General features: G+C 53.7%; 1 protein-coding gene and 1 long non-coding RNA gene across 4 annotated transcripts, besides 1 other annotated feature; one reads left to right on the top strand and one right to left on the bottom strand.

The window, feature by feature from the left end:
• Positions 417 to 7,980, bottom strand: LOC124901322 (uncharacterized). The gene is made up of 3 exons (XR_007059594.1): positions 7,889 to 7,980; positions 7,523 to 7,730; positions 417 to 813 (listed from the first exon to the last, which is right to left on the bottom strand). It is a non-coding gene; the product is annotated as an uncharacterized LOC124901322 (long non-coding RNA).
• Positions 1,313 to 1,872: an enhancer, noted in NCBI's record as "H3K27ac hESC enhancer chr6:44280829-44281388 (GRCh37/hg19 assembly coordinates)". NCBI's record gives its function as "activates a minimal SCP1, AML or CMV promoter by ChIP-STARR-seq in naive H9 embryonic stem cells {active_cell/tissue: H9 hESC(naive)}" and the evidence as "EXISTENCE:reporter gene assay evidence [ECO:0000049][PMID:30033119]".
• Positions 1,617 to 16,233, top strand: AARS2 (alanyl-tRNA synthetase 2, mitochondrial). 3 transcript variants are annotated; one of them, NM_020745.4, is made up of 22 exons: positions 1,617 to 1,883; positions 2,701 to 2,892; positions 3,429 to 3,574; positions 3,803 to 3,970; positions 4,521 to 4,665; positions 7,570 to 7,715; positions 7,933 to 8,041; positions 8,432 to 8,470; positions 8,573 to 8,684; positions 9,178 to 9,311; positions 9,766 to 9,910; positions 10,147 to 10,319; positions 10,431 to 10,544; positions 10,643 to 10,783; positions 11,541 to 11,678; positions 11,789 to 11,898; positions 12,054 to 12,162; positions 12,451 to 12,573; positions 12,794 to 12,904; positions 13,500 to 13,583; positions 13,698 to 13,808; positions 14,253 to 16,233. In NM_020745.4, the coding sequence occupies exons 1-22, from the start codon at positions 1,641 to 1,643 to the stop codon at positions 14,415 to 14,417; spliced, it is 2,958 nt and encodes a 985-aa protein (NP_065796.2). In that variant the 5' UTR covers positions 1,617 to 1,640; the 3' UTR covers positions 14,418 to 16,233. The 3 variants fall into 3 exon arrangements, 2 of the variants coding, with proteins under 2 accessions (NP_065796.2, XP_005249302.1); XM_005249245.4 differs by lacking the exons at positions 4,521 to 4,665; positions 7,570 to 7,715; XR_007059282.1 differs by lacking the exons at positions 11,541 to 11,678; positions 11,789 to 11,898; positions 12,054 to 12,162; ... (3 more) ...; positions 13,698 to 13,808; positions 14,253 to 16,233 and having other exon boundaries at positions 10,450 to 10,544; positions 10,643 to 10,735.

The following is a 16,949-nucleotide window of genomic DNA, read 5'->3' as shown; positions in this document are numbered from 1 at the left end:
GGGAAATAATTTCACAGTCTTGTCTAAAGATCATCAATCTCAGCTGGGCGCAGTGGTGCATGCCTGTAATCCCAGCACTTCGGAAGGCTGAGGTAGGCAGGTCAGCTGAGGTCGGGAGTTCAAGACCAGCCTGACCAACATGGAGAAACCCCATCTCTACTAAAAATACAAAATTAGCCGGGCGTGGTGATGCATGCCTGTAATCCCAGCTACTCAGGAGGCTAAGGCAGGATAATTGCTTGAACCCGGGAGACAGAGGTTGCAGAGAGCCGAGATTGTGCTATTGCACGCCAGCACAACAAGAGTGAAACCCCATCTCAAAAAAATAAAAAAGTCATTAATCACACAGAAATCCCCAGCTGGCTTTAGCTTTCTGTTCCAGAAACACTGGAAAAACCAAAACAGGCCAAACACACTTTCAAAACAACACCTTTAATCTATGTGGGCAAAGGGAGAAAAAGGGGATCATGGAATAGGAGTTATAGGTGCTGTCAGAACACAAAGTTAAGAATTTACTATCACTATAGAAATTCAAGTCCAATGTAGATTCCGCAGAGAAACTATGTATACAAAGACCCCAAATAACTTAACACACACAGAATCGTGGCTAAAAGAGACCACCCTGATGGCTAAGGCCTTCTCGGTTATTACACTGACCTCAGCTCTGGAACCTCTATTGAGTTTTAGCTTTGGCAGATTCTCTTCTGTCTTCCCAATCTGTTTAATTTCCCAAGCCAAGGGCATCATGAGAAGCCCCATGAGCACCCTGATTGCATCCACAAGGGCCTGTTGGCTTCAGGGTCACAGCTGTTACTATGGAAAGACAGAAGGGAGAGGTAGAACAGGTATATCTCTTATCCTAAACGAAAACACACAAAACCTTAGGGCATTAGAAGGCTTAGAGAGTGAAATCTCTGCAGCTATTAGCCAACAGCTTCCTCCTGCCTTGACGACCTGGATTCTCTCTGATCCCCAGGCAAATGAGAAGACCAAATGTTAGGCAATTAATAATATAGCAGATGCTGTTTGGCTTCTGTGTTCTCCTATAGACTCCTGCTTCACGGGCAAAAATGGCCGTGTCTGATGCCAAGGTCCAAGGAAACTGGCAAATGCCTAGAACAGTGCCTAGCACATACTAGGTCTTCAATAAATATTTGTTGAATACCTCTTGAATGAATGCTGATACTCCCCTGTCACTCTCTGCCTTCTTCCCTCAGCCTGGAAAAACACACACAAAACACACACACACACACACACACACACACACGAAGTTGAATCCACACCTGTTTATTGCAACCCCATCTGTAACTTTGCAAAACTAATAAGCACAACAGCAATTACTGCTAGAATACGGATTTCAGTGGGCAGGGCATTTTGTCAATTTTGTACCCTAAAAGCCCAAAACAATGCCTAGCACATAGTAGGCTCTCAATGAATATTTGCTTAATGCCGAATGAATTAAGAGCCTACTATGTGCCGGGCGCTGTGCTAGACTCTGCCAGCGACCCAATCGATCGCTTCCACCCCGGCGGCAGAGGCCGCCCCCTGAGTCCTCCTACCGCCAGGGGCCGCTGTAGGAAACGCCTGGCTTCCTTCCCTCGTCACTCTTTGACCACGTAAAGTCACTGCCCGGAGCTACGATGGCAGCGTCAGTGGCAGCTGCAGCCCGGAGGCTGCGGCGGGCCATTCGAAGGTCGCCCGCATGGCGGGGCCTCAGCCATCGGCCGCTCTCATCGGAGCCCCCTGCAGCCAAGGCCTCGGCCGTGAGGGCCGCCTTTCTGAACTTCTTTCGGGACCGCCATGGCCACCGGCTGGTGCCCTCCGCTTCCGTGCGGCCCCGCGGCGACCCCAGTTTGCTTTTTGTCAATGCGGGCATGAACCAGGTGAGGGCCGAACCATACTGATAGGGAGCGGAGTTCGTGAGTTTTCTGGTGAGAAAGACGCTGCAGGATTGGGCAAAAGAAGCGAGAGGCGGAGTTCGTAGCTTTTGGGGAAAGAGGGCGGTGCTTGGTTGGGTAAAGTGATGGGGGTACGGCGCTCAGAGTATAGGGAGGGCTTGGGGAGGGCTTGAGCTGGGAACTTCTGGATTGGGATTGAGTATTAGGTCCAGAAATGGCTGGAGTGGAATCCCGAGGGAGAAGTCTGATTTCATTTATTCGTTATTTAAATAAAGATAACGCTTTCATTAAATGTTTATTGATCACCTATTGTTTGCTGAGTACTATTCTCTAAGGTTTTGGTTTTTATCAACCACTCATCTTTTCTAGACTTCATTGTCCTCATCTGTAAAATAGGGGCGGCATAAGTTAACCTTAGAGGCCGTCTGGGCTCCCTACTAAATGAGTCTCAGTTTTGTTCCCTGAAGTTATTGGGTGTGGTTGAAGAAGCTGAGACGGAGGATGCCACCTTTCAGCGTCCCATTTCCAGCTCCCAACACATTCCTCCTTCTTTTACCTTGCCTATTTTACTAGGCAGAGGGTCTCCGGTTCATGATTTGTTTACCTCTTCTCTGCTCCCCACACACCAGAGATGGCTGTCCCGAGGCTCCCAGTTTGTCCTCATAGACCAAGATTACACTGCACTCTCAGGGGCACAGTCAGCCTTCGGTCTGAACAGCCATCCCTATCCTCACTCCCCACATTTCCCTTCTACTGAGAAATTGGATATCCCTCTCCCCCTCCCCACTCTATGTGCTTCCAGTTCAAGCCAATCTTTCTGGGCACCGTGGATCCACGAAGCGAGATGGCAGGCTTCCGACGTGTGGCCAACAGCCAGAAATGTGTGAGAGCTGGAGGACACCATAACGACCTGGAAGATGTGGGTCGAGACCTTTCCCATCATACCTTCTTTGAAATGCTTGGCAATTGGGCCTTTGGGGGTGAATATTTTAAGGTGAGTCTCTGGGGATCAGTGATCAGCCAAGAAGGGAGTCAATTTGTCCTGTTTCCATTGTACTGTCTGCTTAGGCAGGGCCTCATACCAGATGTGGAGGCAAAGTGCTAGTTGAGCCGGTGTAACAGGAATTACCTCACCTCCCTGATTGGATTGTAAGTCCCTGAAGGGCAGAGACTGTACTTTCTGCCTAATGATCACTCAAAAATTGTTGTTTGAATAAATGGTCAAACAGCAATGCTAAGGTGCTTACTGGAGTTAAAGATCACTCTAGGCTAGAGTAGGCAGAGAATTTCATGTGAAAGTGGGACTTGGTCTGGGACTTGAAAGAAGATAGGACTTAGAAGAAGGGGGAAGCTTTCTGGGCAGGAAAACACTCAGAGGCAGTAATGGTTCATGGCTTATTCTGGGAACAAGATGGCAGCAGAAATGCTTTTGTCTTAAGTCGGGAGCTAAACTCATGTGGCTTGATTACTTCAGTGGGGTCTCCCTCTCACCCGTCTTCCCCCCCCACCCCATGCTGGTTTCTGCTGCAGGAGGAGGCTTGTAACATGGCCTGGGAACTGCTGACTCAGGTCTATGGGATCCCTGAGGAAAGGCTCTGGATCTCCTACTTTGATGGTGACCCCAAGGCAGGGCTGGACCCAGACCTGGAGACCAGGGACATCTGGCTGAGCTTAGGGTAAGTCAGCCCCCTTCTTATGTTCATTCCTGGAGGTCAGGAGGACTGGAAAGTGGAGACTACCAGCACCAATCCTCAGAGTCTTAGCATTTCATTCCAGGATATTGTGGGGTCAGCCCTGTTCCTCCTCTTGCTGAGCTGTGACTTGAGGGAGGGGCTCTCATGGCAGAGAGAGTCCCAGCTTCTGGGTCTGTCTGTCTCCCACCACTCACCTGCTTTTCTCCCCAGGGTGCCTGCTAGCCGTGTGCTTTCCTTTGGACCACAAGAGAACTTCTGGGAGATGGGGGATACTGGCCCTTGTGGGCCCTGTACTGAGATCCACTACGACCTTGCTGGTGGGGTGGGAGCCCCCCAGCTGGTAGAGCTTTGGAACCTGGTCTTCATGCAACACAACAGGTAATAGGGTGCTGAAGCAGGATGAGAATCCCTGACTAGAAGTGGGAAAGGTGGCAATTAGAAGACTTTGATCTGTTTCATATAAAAACAAACATGTAAACGGTGCTTACCGTGTGTCAGGCACAATTCTCAACACCTTATAGATAATAACTGATTTAATTGTAGTCTTTGCCTGTGACAGCTTAAACAAGTCACTGCTATTCTCTGTTGAACTTGATGATCAACGAGTTGAACTTGATGATCTCAGATTTTCTTCTAGCCTTGACATATCTTTCTAGGGGCAAAGAATTCTGTCCCAAGATGGGATGTCTGGTGCCCAGGCAAGGGCCCAAGCAGGGGTGAGAATGGAAATAGCCCTATATGAGGAAGGACAGGACCCCAAGGCCATCATCATCTGCTATTGCAGGGTGGCAGGGGAAGATACTGATTGTCTGGTTCCTCCCACTGTCAGCTCCCTTGGGCCCCCCCCCATTTCTCTACTCCACTTGGGCATCTGTCTCACACCTGTAATCCTGGGTGGGGCCTCACCTTGCACACCTTCCCTGGCCAGAGAGGCAGATGGAAGCCTGCAGCCCCTGCCCCAGCGGCATGTGGACACAGGAATGGGCCTGGAAAGGCTGGTGGCTGTGCTGCAAGGCAAACACTCCACCTATGACACTGACCTCTTTTCCCCGCTGCTCAACGCCATACAGCAGGTGAGTGCCTCTTCCCTTCCAGAAGCCCTCTAACCTGCTCTTCACAGCCCTCAGCCCCATTGCATTCCATCTTTGTTGAGAACTCAGAGTGTTCTCAGCATCTGAGGACAATAACCAACCAAGAATTCCAAGACGTCAAGCAAGACACTAGGATTCATTACTTATTACCTGATGTTCCTCCTAACTCCTTGCCTCTTTCATTTATTTAGAAAATACGTGTTGAGTGCTTACTTTATGTTAAATCCTTTGTGTTTGGTACAGAAGACACAGCAGTAAGCAGGAAAGAGATCATGGAGATTATATGCTAGCATGAGAGATAGACAATCAATAAATGTGTTAAAGAACAAGGTAATAGCTTACAGATTGTGAACAGGCAGTAAACATGGGTGAAAGTAACTAGGAAGAAGGAGGGGTACAGAGGAATCTTAGATAAGGTGCTTGGGGAAGGCTCACCAAGAAGATGACCTTTGAGCTGAGCCCCAAAGGAGGAGTCAGCTACAGGAAGTTCTTTCCAGGCAGAGGGGACAGCAGGTACCAAGGGCCTTGGTACTGATGGATTAGATGGGGAGGGGAAAGAGAAATCAAAGATGGCTCCCAGGCTATTGGCTTGAGCAACACAGTGAATGGCATGACTGTTTACTGAGATGAAGAAGCTTGGGGAAGAGAGAGGTTTGGAGCTAGGTGAATCAAGCTCCCTGCTTTGGAGCATTTCCACATGTGTGTAGCTTATACCCTCCCTCCTTGCCCCGCAAGAAAGGGCTTGACATGTGCCAAAAACTAAAAGGTGGCCAGCCAGCTAAAGGAGAATCCCATGGGATATAGTAGGAACATGTGTCAGTTGGCTTTTGCTGTATAACCACCCTAATGCTCTGTGGCTTAACCAACAACCATGTATCTGCCCCCTGAGTCTGTGAGCTAGCGTTTAGGCTGGGCTTAGCTGGCTCATTCTTTGGTCTTGTGTGAGCTCATTCATCCATCTGTGGTGAGCTGAGAGGCCGCAGCTCCTCTGGGGCTTGGCTGGCTGTCAGTTTGGGGGCAGTAGGGGTGACTGGACCATGTGTCTGTCATCACCTAGCTGGCTAGTCTGGGCTTGTCCACATCACAGCTCAGCAAGGTTCCAAGACAGAGAGCAGACACATAGGCTCAGAACAGTGTTGTTTCCACTGTATTCTATGGGCCAAAGCAAGTCACAAAGCCAGCAGAGATTCAGGGGATGGAGAAATGGATTCTGTCCCTTGATGGGAAACAGCTGTAAAGTCCCATTTTAAAGTGGCATATGCCTAGGAAAGGGCCATTTTTGTGAACAGTCTCACAGAGAAGAAGGCAGAATCCAGTCTTGTGGGCCTCAAAGTCCAAAGTGGGGCCTTGATTCTCAGAGTGGTGAGAAGAGTTCTCAGGGCTGGGCACGGTGGCTCACTCCTGTAATCCCAGCACTTGGGGAGGCAGAGGGGGGCGGATCGCTTGAGGTCAGGAGTTGGAGACCAGCCTGGCCAACATGGCAAAATCCTGTCTCTACTAAAAAAATAGAAAAATCAGCCAGGCATGGTGGCACACACCTGTAGTCCCAGCCACTTGGGAGGCTGAGGCAGGAGAATCTCTTGAACCCAGGAGGTGGAGGTTGCAGTAAGCTGAGATCGTGCTACTGCACTCTAACCTGGGCAACAGAGTGAGAGTTCATCTCAAAAAAAATAAATAAATAAAAGTGTACATCAGATCATGCCACACTCCCCACTGAGAACCCTTCTTTTTTTTTTTTGAGACAGAGTCTTGCTTGCTCTGTTGTCCAGGCTGGAGTGCAGTGGCATGATCTCGGCTCACTGCAACCTCTGCCTCCGGGGCTCAAGCAATTCTCGTGCCTCAGCCTCCAGAGTAGCTGGGATTACAGGCACCCGCCAACACACCTGACTAATTTTTGTATTTTTAGTACAGATGGGGTTTCACCAGGATTGGCCAGGCTGGTCTCAAACTCCTGACCTCAGGTGATCCACCCGCCTCAGCCTCCCAAAGTGTTGAGATTACAGGTGTGAGCCACCGCGCCCAGCCTGATGTACACTTTTAAAAGGCTACTCCTGTTGCTGTGTGGAGGATGAGCTGGAGGGAGATGAGAGCAGAAACTTAGGAATCAGTTGGGAGGCTATTATCGGTCCAGGCAAGGACCACAGGGCATGCTTCGGATAATAGCAGTGGAAGTAGAGACAAGTAGATTGATTTGAGAGATGTCATGGAGGTAGGAGCAAAAGGAACCACTGATGGATCATGACGGGTAGGGGAAAAAGAATTCAAAGATGGCTCCCAGGCTATTGACTTGAGCAACACAGTGAATGGCATGACTGTTAGACGAAGAAGCTTGGGGAAGAGAGAGGTTTGGTGGTAAGTGAATCAAGCTCCCTGCTTTGGAGCATTTCCGTGTATGTAGCTTACACTCTCCCTCCCTGCCCACCCCCACAAAAGATGGGAGAGGCAAGAACAGGTAGTGGAGAGCACCTGGAGTCCAACAGGCCCGGCTGAGATCTCAGATCTGCTCCTTGAGAGCTGGGTAGCCTTGTGTCACTGAGTTCCTCTGAGCCTCAGCTTCTTCTTCTTTAAAGCAAGCATGCTAATACCTCCTGGAATGGGCTGTTTTGGGGATTCGAGGCCATGTTGTTCAAGTACTCACCCAGTTCTGATAGTAGAAATTCAGTAAATGGTCACAGATATGTTCACTTGTAGCACCAAATATGAGCCCCGTGAGGGCAGGGCCTGGCTTGTGCTCATCTGTGAGGCTTCTCAGCCCAGGACTGGACTGGCAAGGCCATTCTGGATGTGGTTGGCTTTAGGGCTGAGGGCAGATGCTCTAGAGGCGATAAAGAGCACCCACCTGGGCCAGGTCAGGCAGGGCCACTGGCTGACTCTTCTGCTTCCCAGGGCTGCAGGGCACCCCCTTACTTGGGCCGAGTAGGGGTGGCAGACGAGGGGCGCACAGACACAGCGTACCGCGTGGTGGCTGACCACATCCGCACACTCAGTGTCTGCATCTCTGATGGCATCTTCCCTGGGATGTCAGGTCCCCCGTGAGTCTGGAAGGGCTACAGAGAGGACAGGGGCTGCTGGGGGTCTCAGGTGGAGGAGGGAGGGAACAGGAGAGGTGGGTCTGGTTGAGCCAGTAGGAGGAATGGGGAGAGGGAGAGCTTTGAGGTGGGAGCACACACTGGACCTCGTCCTTCCCACTCCCCATATTGCTGACCATGAGCCGCTGGGGATTCATGTCTGGGCTCTGAACCCCTTTAGGCTGGTTCTTCGTCGGATCCTGCGTCGAGCTGTGCGTTTCTCCATGGAGATCTTAAAGGCACCACCTGGCTTCCTAGGCAGCCTGGTACCTGTAGTGGTGGAGACACTGGTAAGGACAGAGCTTCTTTTTCACTCTGGGCCTCCCTGGGCACTTTGGGGAGCCTACCACTGAGCCTAGACAGTGCCCCCAGCCTGGGTGCCCAGAGGTCCCCACCCTAAATATCGAGCCCAGCATCCTATCAGCAAGCTAAGAAAGCTGTCCTTGCTTACAAGAAGCAGGAGAACTTGAGGAGGCTCCTTTTCCAAACTGCTCAGCCCTTGACCTCAGGACCCCCTTCTGCCACCCTACAGGGAAACCAGTTCCCCATTTGAGTCCCTCTCCCAGCCCCTCAATGTGTCTGAGCCTCCAGGGCAGGTGTCCTCAGGGAGGCCCAGGGTGGGGAGGTGGGGGTGGGTTGGTTGCCTTTCACACCTCCTCAGCCCTCTCCACCTCCCCCAGGGAGATGCTTATCCAGAACTGCAAAGGAACTCAGCCCAGGTACTGGATTCCAGTGGGAGAGAAAGGGGTTGATGGGAGAGTTGTGGAGAGAGACCCTCCTTCCAAGGAGACCCAGCTCCACTTCTTCTCTGCCTGGTTCAGATCGCCAACCTGGTGTCAGAGGACGAGGCAGCCTTCCTGGCCTCCCTGGAGCGGGGTAGGCGGATCATTGATCGGACTCTGAGGACCCTGGGGCCTTCAGATATGTTCCCTGGTAAGCAGGATACCTAGCCCATGCACAAGGGGCTCGCTGAGACTCACCAAGGTGGGCAGAGGAGGGAGCTCTGGGCCAGCCCCATGCCTCATATCCACCCCTGACCTCTTCCCAATGTTCCTTTCTCCCTGGACTCTCCTTCCATACCCAGACCCCTCTGCAGCAGGAATACCACCCTGCCTCTCCCCATGTCCACAGTGCCCAGCTAGCCCTGCCTCCTGCTTTCCTAGGTTGGCTTCGTGCATAGACTGAGCTTCCCTCCTCCCTTGAAATGATGTGTGCCCAGGGAGTACCCTGGACTACCCCCAGCTCTGGCCTTGAGGCATGAAGCCTGAATGTGACCCCTCTCCTGAGGCTACCCAGTATGGAGCGGGTATTTGTGTTTGGCATCTGGTGGCTTCTGCGTGGTTAGAAGGGCCCTGGACCTTATTTTTCTCCCCTTCTTTGTCTAATCCCTCCCCTCCTCAACATTCTTTGTCTTTCTTTCTCAAAGCTGAAGTGGCCTGGTCCTTGTCACTGTGTGGAGACCTGGGACTCCCCTTGGACATGGTAGAGCTGATGCTGGAGGAGAAAGGGGTCCAGCTAGACTCCGCTGGACTGGAGCGGTTGGCCCAAGAGGAGGCCCAGGTACAAGCTGTGGCACCCCATGCTGGGTTCTGTTAGGACACCTCTTCCCCAGCCCTGAGCTCCTGGGGGAGGAGCTGTGAATATTGAGAGGAATCAAGAGGCTGAGATAGGATCTGTCCCCTCACCTGGGAGGTTTCTAAAACCTCAGGCCACAACCAGTAGAAAGCAAAACTAGCCAATGGGCTAAACACAGGAGCAGAAGCCAGCACAGCTTCCTGGAGAGGGGCCCTCCAGGGGCAGCAGTGGGCAGGAAGGCCTAATCCCGAGGAGCCGACATGATGGATGGTTCAACCAGCTCAGGGGCTCTAGCAGCCAGCCAAGCCCTGAGTTCTTATTCCAGAAGGGCTGCAGAGTCCACAGCTGTGTGGCAGGGACAGGGCCCTGCGAGGCTGAAGTCCCACTTTCATTCTTTCATTCTCCATGCACTTCTTCCATGCCCATGCCCACCCTGCAGCACCGGGCACGGCAGGCTGAGCCAGTTCAGAAGCAGGGATTGTGGCTTGATGTCCATGCGCTTGGGGAGCTGCAGCGCCAAGGAGTGCCCCCAACTGACGACAGCCCCAAGTACAACTACTCCCTGCGACCCAGCGGAAGTTATGGTGAGAGCCTGGACCAAGGCCTGCCGCCACAAGCTTGCCTGACCATGACTAAGAAGAATGTCCAAGATGGTTGCTGCTAGCCCCTATGTATTCCCCAGGATGGCCACCAGGGGTCTCTGTGGCCCCCAGCTGGAAGTGCCCCTGCCAGCGGGGGTGCTTGTTGGCCTCCAGGCACAGACCCACCTTCACGTCCCCAGCCCCTGCCCACCACTAATAACCATTCTGTGCCCTGGCAGAGTTCGGCACCTGTGAGGCCCAGGTGTTGCAACTGTATACAGAGGACGGGACAGCAGTGGCCTCCGTGGGGAAAGGCCAGCGCTGTGGCCTCCTCTTGGACAGGACCAACTTCTACGCAGAACAGGGGGGCCAGGCTTCAGACCGTGGCTACCTGGTGCGGGCAGGGCAAGAGGTGAGTCTCCATCACAACCCAGGCTGATTTCTGTGGGCGGCAGACCCAAGCCTGAGTGGGAGCCAAGGGGAGGGAAAGGCTACAGGCACCTTGACCACTACCCTCCCTCAGGACGTGCTGTTCCCAGTAGCCCGGGCCCAGGTCTGTGGAGGTTTCATCCTGCATGAGGCAGTAGCCCCTGAGTGCCTGCGGTTAGGGGACCAGGTGCAGCTGCATGTGGATGAGGTAAGGATCCTCCCTAACTGTTCCCAATACCCTGCAGCCCCTTCACTCTCCCAACCCCCTGCCCTCACCCAGGACGCTGGGTGACAAAAGTATTTCAGGCCTGGCGTCTAGGCTGCATGGCGAAGCATACGGCCACCCACCTGCTGAACTGGGCACTGAGGCAGACCCTGGGCCCTGGCACAGAGCAGCAGGGCTCCCATCTCAATCCTGAGCAGCTGCGCTTGGATGTGACCACCCAGGTGAGCCCGGCATAGAAAGACAGGCTTCATGTGAGGTGACAGGCATAAAAGAGAGACAGCCTGCTGTGAGCGGGTTGCCCTTAGAGTCCTGGGCTCTAGGCCCAGCACGGCCACCCAATCACTATGGGACCCTGGGCAAGTCCTTTCCCCTTGGGCTCCTTGTGCAGCAGTGAGGAGTCAGGCTACAGAGTGTCTGGGGCCTCGCCCAGCTCTGATGTGGGATCCTGAAGGCCCTCCAGCAGGGGCCTTCCCTTCACCTCCAGCCGCTCCCCTTCCTTGTTTCTACTGTCATCCAAGCCATTCTTGCCTAAACTGGGCTGCCCTCTCCCTCTGCTGCCACCCTGTCTCCCTGCGCTTCTTACACATCTGGCTTAAATCCTTTCTCCAGGAAGTACTTGCTGGCTAATCCCCATCCCACCTGCTTATTCCCTGCCCCTGCATCCCCCCATCCTGTAGTTCTCTCTTCCATTGGGCTACCCCTTGTAAGCTCCATGTGGATACAGCCTCCTTTTTCTGTTTCTTTAACTTTTGGTGCCTGGTGAAAGGCCTGGAGCTTCCAATAGGCCCAACTCCCAGATAGCTTTCTAAGGAAAATAATTGTCTGCTCAGGTAGTGTTTATTGAGCACCTATTATGTGCTAGCCACTATTCTAGAACCTGGGGATAGCTCAGTGAACATTGACCGTGTTTCAATGCATCAGTTAGAGGTGTGGGGCTGACTGCATGTTGGTCTTTCCATTTCCTCCCCACCCCTCCAGACCCCATTGACCCCAGAGCAGCTCCGGGCAGTGGAGAACACTGTGCAGGAGGCCGTGGGGCAGGATGAGGCTGTGTACATGGAGGAGGTGCCCCTGGCGCTCACTGCCCAGGTCCCTGGCCTGCGCTCTCTGGATGAGGTGAGTTGGGGAAGCCCTTTTGCTGGAGATCGGGGGCCTCCTTCAGGCATACCTGGAGGCTTTATCCTTCTCCTTTGGCAGTTAACGGGCCTGTCCCCTCTTGACCTCAGGTTTACCCAGACCCTGTGCGGGTGGTATCAGTGGGGGTGCCCGTGGCCCATGCATTGGACCCAGCCTCCCAAGCCGCACTGCAGACCTCTGTGGAGCTATGCTGTGGGACGTGAGTCACTCCTTTGTGCTGCCTGGCCCAGGGGCCCCGGATCCTTGCCCTTCCCTTGGTCTTTGGAGCCATCAGCCCTTAATGGGAGATGCACGCTGGCTTCTCCCTTCTCTACTGTCATGCCCCGACTTTCTGTTCACTCCTTCCTCCCACAGGCACCTGTTACGTACTGGGGCTGTAGGGGACCTGGTTATCATCGGGGACCGCCAGCTTTCCAAGGGCACTACCCGCCTGCTGGCCGTCACTGGGGAGCAGGCCCAGCAGGTCAGCATGCCAGTAGGCCTGGGACTTCTGGGTTGAGTGGGTGCATGGGACACACGCAGGTGACATGCTCAGGCTCAGGGGTGCCCAGCAGCAGAGCCAGTGTTCATACTTGGACACCAATGTGGCCATATCAGCTATTGGCAGCTGGCATGTGTTTTGATTATTTGGTGCTGGTGCCTTGATTGGTCCTGATTGTTAAATCTTATTTGTCCCTGACCAGTAATGAGTTGAGAGGCCTTGTCCTGGGGAGATGAATGTAATCCTGACCCTCCTGTCCCCTCCCTGCAGGCCCGAGAGCTAGGCCAGAGCCTGGCCCAGGAAGTGAAAGCGGCCACTGAGCGGCTGAGTCTGGGGAGCCGGGATGTGGCGGAGGCACTGAGGCTGTCCAAGGACATAGGACGACTCATTGAAGTGAGGGCCACGCCTACCACCCCACCCTCTCCTAGCCCTATTACCTCCCCTATTCCTCCCTGGACTCCTTCAGACTCTCCCTAGCACTCCAATTGGGTTGGGCTCCAGCTGGCCCAGATATTTGTCTGCAGGGTGGGTGTCTTCCCTGGCCCTGCTGGTCCCTACCTCAGAGACTATGGCTCAGGGAAGGGCAGGGGTGATGTACTGCTTCTGGCCATAGGCTGTGGAAACTGCTGTGATGCCCCAGTGGCAGCGGCGGGAGCTGCTGGCCACAGTGAAGATGCTGCAGCGGCGTGCCAACACTGCCATCCGTAAGCTGCAAATGGGACAGGTGAGAGGAGGTTTGGCTGCACCCATGTGCCCAGAGACACTCCAGCAGATACACTGAGAAGTCTCAAGGGCTGGGGCATGGGGGTGAGTCAGAGGCTGTGCAAGGACGGGGTGGTGGCAGCTTCCTTCTCCTGCCAGCTGAGAACCATCACCCAGGCCATTCCCCCACTTCTGTCTCTTTCAAACTGTGTTTCTCCCCCAACTCCCAAGTCTGGCTCAGAACCCCCGGAAGCCTACTGACTTGATTAGTGCCATTCAGCCCTGATTGCACCTCCACTGTGGATCCCCCTTTCTCCCGCCCACTCCTGGTCCATCTGTGCTCTGACCTTCCTCCTTTCACCTTCAGCGACCTATTTGTAGGGGCCTGAAGCTATGATGAAAGGGAAGTGGTGAGGGAAGTGAGGAAGGACACATGTGGGACCCAAAAAGGAGGCCACCCTAGGCAGAGTCCCTGCCACCTCTGCCTAGAGCTAATGACTTTTGGGGTGGGTGGGGGAAGCAGGGGATTGCTCAGCTGGGGCTTAGTTCAGAAGTTGGGGCTAATTGGAAACCTGCCTCTCAGCCTGACCCCTCTGCTTGTCCTTCCTGCCCCATAGGCTGCAAAGAAAACTCAGGAGCTGCTGGAGCGGCACTCGAAGGGGCCTCTGATTGTGGACACAGTCTCTGCTGAGTCTCTCTCAGTGAGTGCTAGCCAAGCCGGGCTGCCCCAGGGTCTGGGGAGGGCAAAGTCCTGACCAGGAGACAGCTAGGGGTCTGGGAAGCGATGGGCTCACCATCTGTCTTTCGTGGTCCAGGTGCTGGTGAAGGTGGTACGGCAGCTGTGTGAGCAGGCCCCCAGCACGTCTGTGCTCCTACTCAGCCCCCAGCCCATGGGGAAGGTGCTGTGTGCCTGTCAGGTGGCCCAGGTGAGGGAAGTGGGAGAGCAGCCCACCGCCCCCATTAATACCCATCCTGGTCCAGCTCTCTGATTTTACACCTTTAATTCCTCCCAAAGGGGCCAAGGCTGGGTGGAAGTATCTATGAGGATACTCCAGGACAGGGATGGGGAATCTCCTTGTTCCTGAAAACAGCCCCTCCCCACCCCAGAAGGCACCAAGAGATTCCTTAATTCCTAACCCCTCCCAGGCCTCACATCCCTTGTAAACAAGTAGCAGATGTTCACGTTCATACACCTCCCCACACACATTTCCAGCCCAAACCTTCTCCGGCTCATCACCTGACTGCCCCACCATGTGCCCAGCTGGGAAGGGGGCACTGATGACCTTCAGCTCCACTCTTGAGGGTACCTTGAGTGGATGCTGGCAGGGAGGGCCACTCTGCATCGCTTCCTCTTCTGATTCTGTTCCTAGGGTGCCATGCCCACCTTCACAGCAGAGGCCTGGGCACTGGCAGTGTGCAGCCACATGGGGGGCAAGGCGTGGGGCTCACGAGTGGTGGCCCAAGGCACCGGAAGCACTACTGACCTGGAAGCTGCCCTCAGTATAGCCCAAACCTATGCCCTCAGCCAGCTCTGACCCAGGTCCGCCCAGGGACCCACATGGACTAAAGGCAATGCCAGGAGCCCTGAAGGAGCCAGCAGAACCTTCCCACATGCTGAAGCGAGGACTAGAGGCTGGAGGCCAAGCAGCTGAGCCAAAGAAGATCACCTGGGCCAGGGCCTACGTGACACAAGGAGACATGGGCTAGGGAAGGCAGAACTGGGCCCAAAGACACACACCCCCTTGGTGAAAGAGAAGACATGGACAATTATGGCTGTGACTGCACATTAGAAATTATTTCACTGGCCGGGTGTGGTGGTTCACACCTGTAATCCAAGCACTTTGGGAGGCCGAGGCAGGTAGATCATGAGGTCAGGAGATCAAAACCATCCTGGCTAACATGGTGAAACCCCATCTCTACTAAAAATACAAAAAATTAGCCGGGTGTGGTGGCACACGCCTGTAGTCCCAGCTACTCGGGAGGCTGAGGCAGAAGAATCGCTTGAACCTGGGAGGTGGAGGTTGCAGTGGGCCAAGATCGCACCACTGCACTCCAGCCTGGGTGACAGAGCGAGACTCTGTCTCAAATAATTATTTCACAGAGGATAGCAAGCTCCAGAAGGTTCTATTACCTTTAAAAAAGAGTAGTTTTGCCCCTCCCAGCAACCTAAGACCAGTCTGAACTCACACTGTCTGAAAGGCCACCCAGGATCCAAATCGGGCCATCTTCATTGCCATGAGTGTTCGGACAGGCTCTGCGTGCCAGGCAACAGTGGGCAGACAAAGGGCTCCCTGGCTACTGGGAAGATACAGAACCATCCTGTGAAAATCATTTCAGCACTGGAGACCTTCTTTGCTATTACTTCTTTCATTAACAATGACCTCTAATTTAAATTGGGCCCTGCTGGTTTGTTGATGAATTGAGCAACTGAGAACGTGGCGGGCACTAAACTGACAGTTCCTTCCTTCATGGAGCCTGCTTCATGTGGAGGAAACAGGAAATAAAGCAAAAGAAGAGGGTCAGGCTTGGTGGCTCATGCCTATAATCCTGGCATTTTAGGAGGCTGAGGTTGGAGAATCGCTTGAGGCCAGAAGTGCAAGACCAGCCTGCGCAAACAGCAAGACCCTGTCTACAAAAAAAAAAAAAAGTAATCTTTATGCCTCAGCCTCCCAGGTAGCTGAGACTACCCACACCTTGGTCCCAGCTACTTGGGAGGCTGAGGTGGGAAAATCACTTTGCCCAGGAATTCAAGGCCGCAGTGAGCTATGATTGCACCACTGCACTCCAGGCAACAGAGTGAGACCCTGTCTTAAAAAAAAGAAGGGAGAAAGTGTCAGATGGTGATGAGGTCTGGGGGGGAAATAGAGAATGGGGATCAGGAGTGTGGATGGTGATATTCCCTCACCAAGAGGTGACATGTGAGCAGGGAGCTGGGAGGTGAGGGTGTGACCCGTGTGGAAATCAGGGAAAAGCATTCCAGCCTGAGGGAACAGCCAATGCAGAGGCCGTGAGGTGGCCAGTGCCACTGAGCAGTGAGCTGGGATAGGGGCAGGTGAGGAGGCTGGAGAGCGGGGTCAGACAAACAATATGCTTATTAAAACAAGTTGTACAGCACCTGCCTCAAGCCTGAGCTGAAGCTGAAAATTGGCACTTCAAAGCAGGAGGAAGCAGAGATGGAGGAAAGCCCTCCTTCCCTACCAGAATGAGTCCACCTCAGACAGCCAGACTTTGGACCTCTGCCTTTGTTCCTAGATCTCTGTTGCTAGATGAAGGAAAGGGCCTCAGGGGATCCATCTTCAAATCAAGGGCTCCCTGGCTACCAAATTCTGTCTAGTAAAAATTATTCGAGCAGCGTGGGCCCGCCTGGCATCATTTTCTGCAGTTTCTCATTCTAATTAAGGCACTGATGATTTGCTGGTAAGGCACTGCTGAGGGCTTGAAGGGACCCAATCCCGGGTGCCTGGCCCCTCACTGCTTGCAAAGCAGCATCCTGGCCACTGGGGCAGTAGCCTGTTTAGCAGTGCTCACCACAGGCCCAGGTTCAAGCTCCTCCGCGAGCGCCAAGATGAGTTTTGGCACCCCTGATTTATTGATGAGTTAACAGAGCTTCGAGATGTTCATCCAGGGTAACCAACTAGTAGTCCTCGGCAGAGCTGAAGTCAAAGCTACCCTTTGAAAGCCCCGCCACCCTGGCTGCCTCTCCCTTCCTGAAGGCCAATTTCTTTTTTTTTACTAGCCGTCCCTCTGGTCTGTCCCTCTCGCCCTCCAGGAGATCTGGGGCCCCAACCACATCTTGTCGCGCCAGGGCTGGAAGAGAGTTTGGCACAGGGCATGGACTGTGTGAAGGAGCGCTGTGTTGGCCTGGAACCTTCCTGCGTCTGGTACCAGACCTTCAGCTGGGGGAAAGGTGGAAGGTGCCCTCCCTCCCGCAGGGCCTAAGGTCAACAGGAGGCCTCACGGGAGTTCCAGTGACTTCTACAGGTGCCTTGGAGAAGGTGCGTCCACCCTCCTCTTCTTCCACAGACGCTTTTCCTGGACCAGCTCCCTATCCATTGCCACACAAAAGC

This window comes from Homo sapiens, chromosome 6, assembly GCF_000001405.40.
Source record: "Homo sapiens chromosome 6, GRCh38.p14 Primary Assembly".
In the NCBI taxonomy this organism is placed as follows: domain Eukaryota; kingdom Metazoa; phylum Chordata; class Mammalia; order Primates; family Hominidae; genus Homo; species Homo sapiens.
The sequence above is the reverse complement of the archived record's forward strand: the minus strand, read 5'-3'. Positions and strand labels throughout refer to the sequence as shown.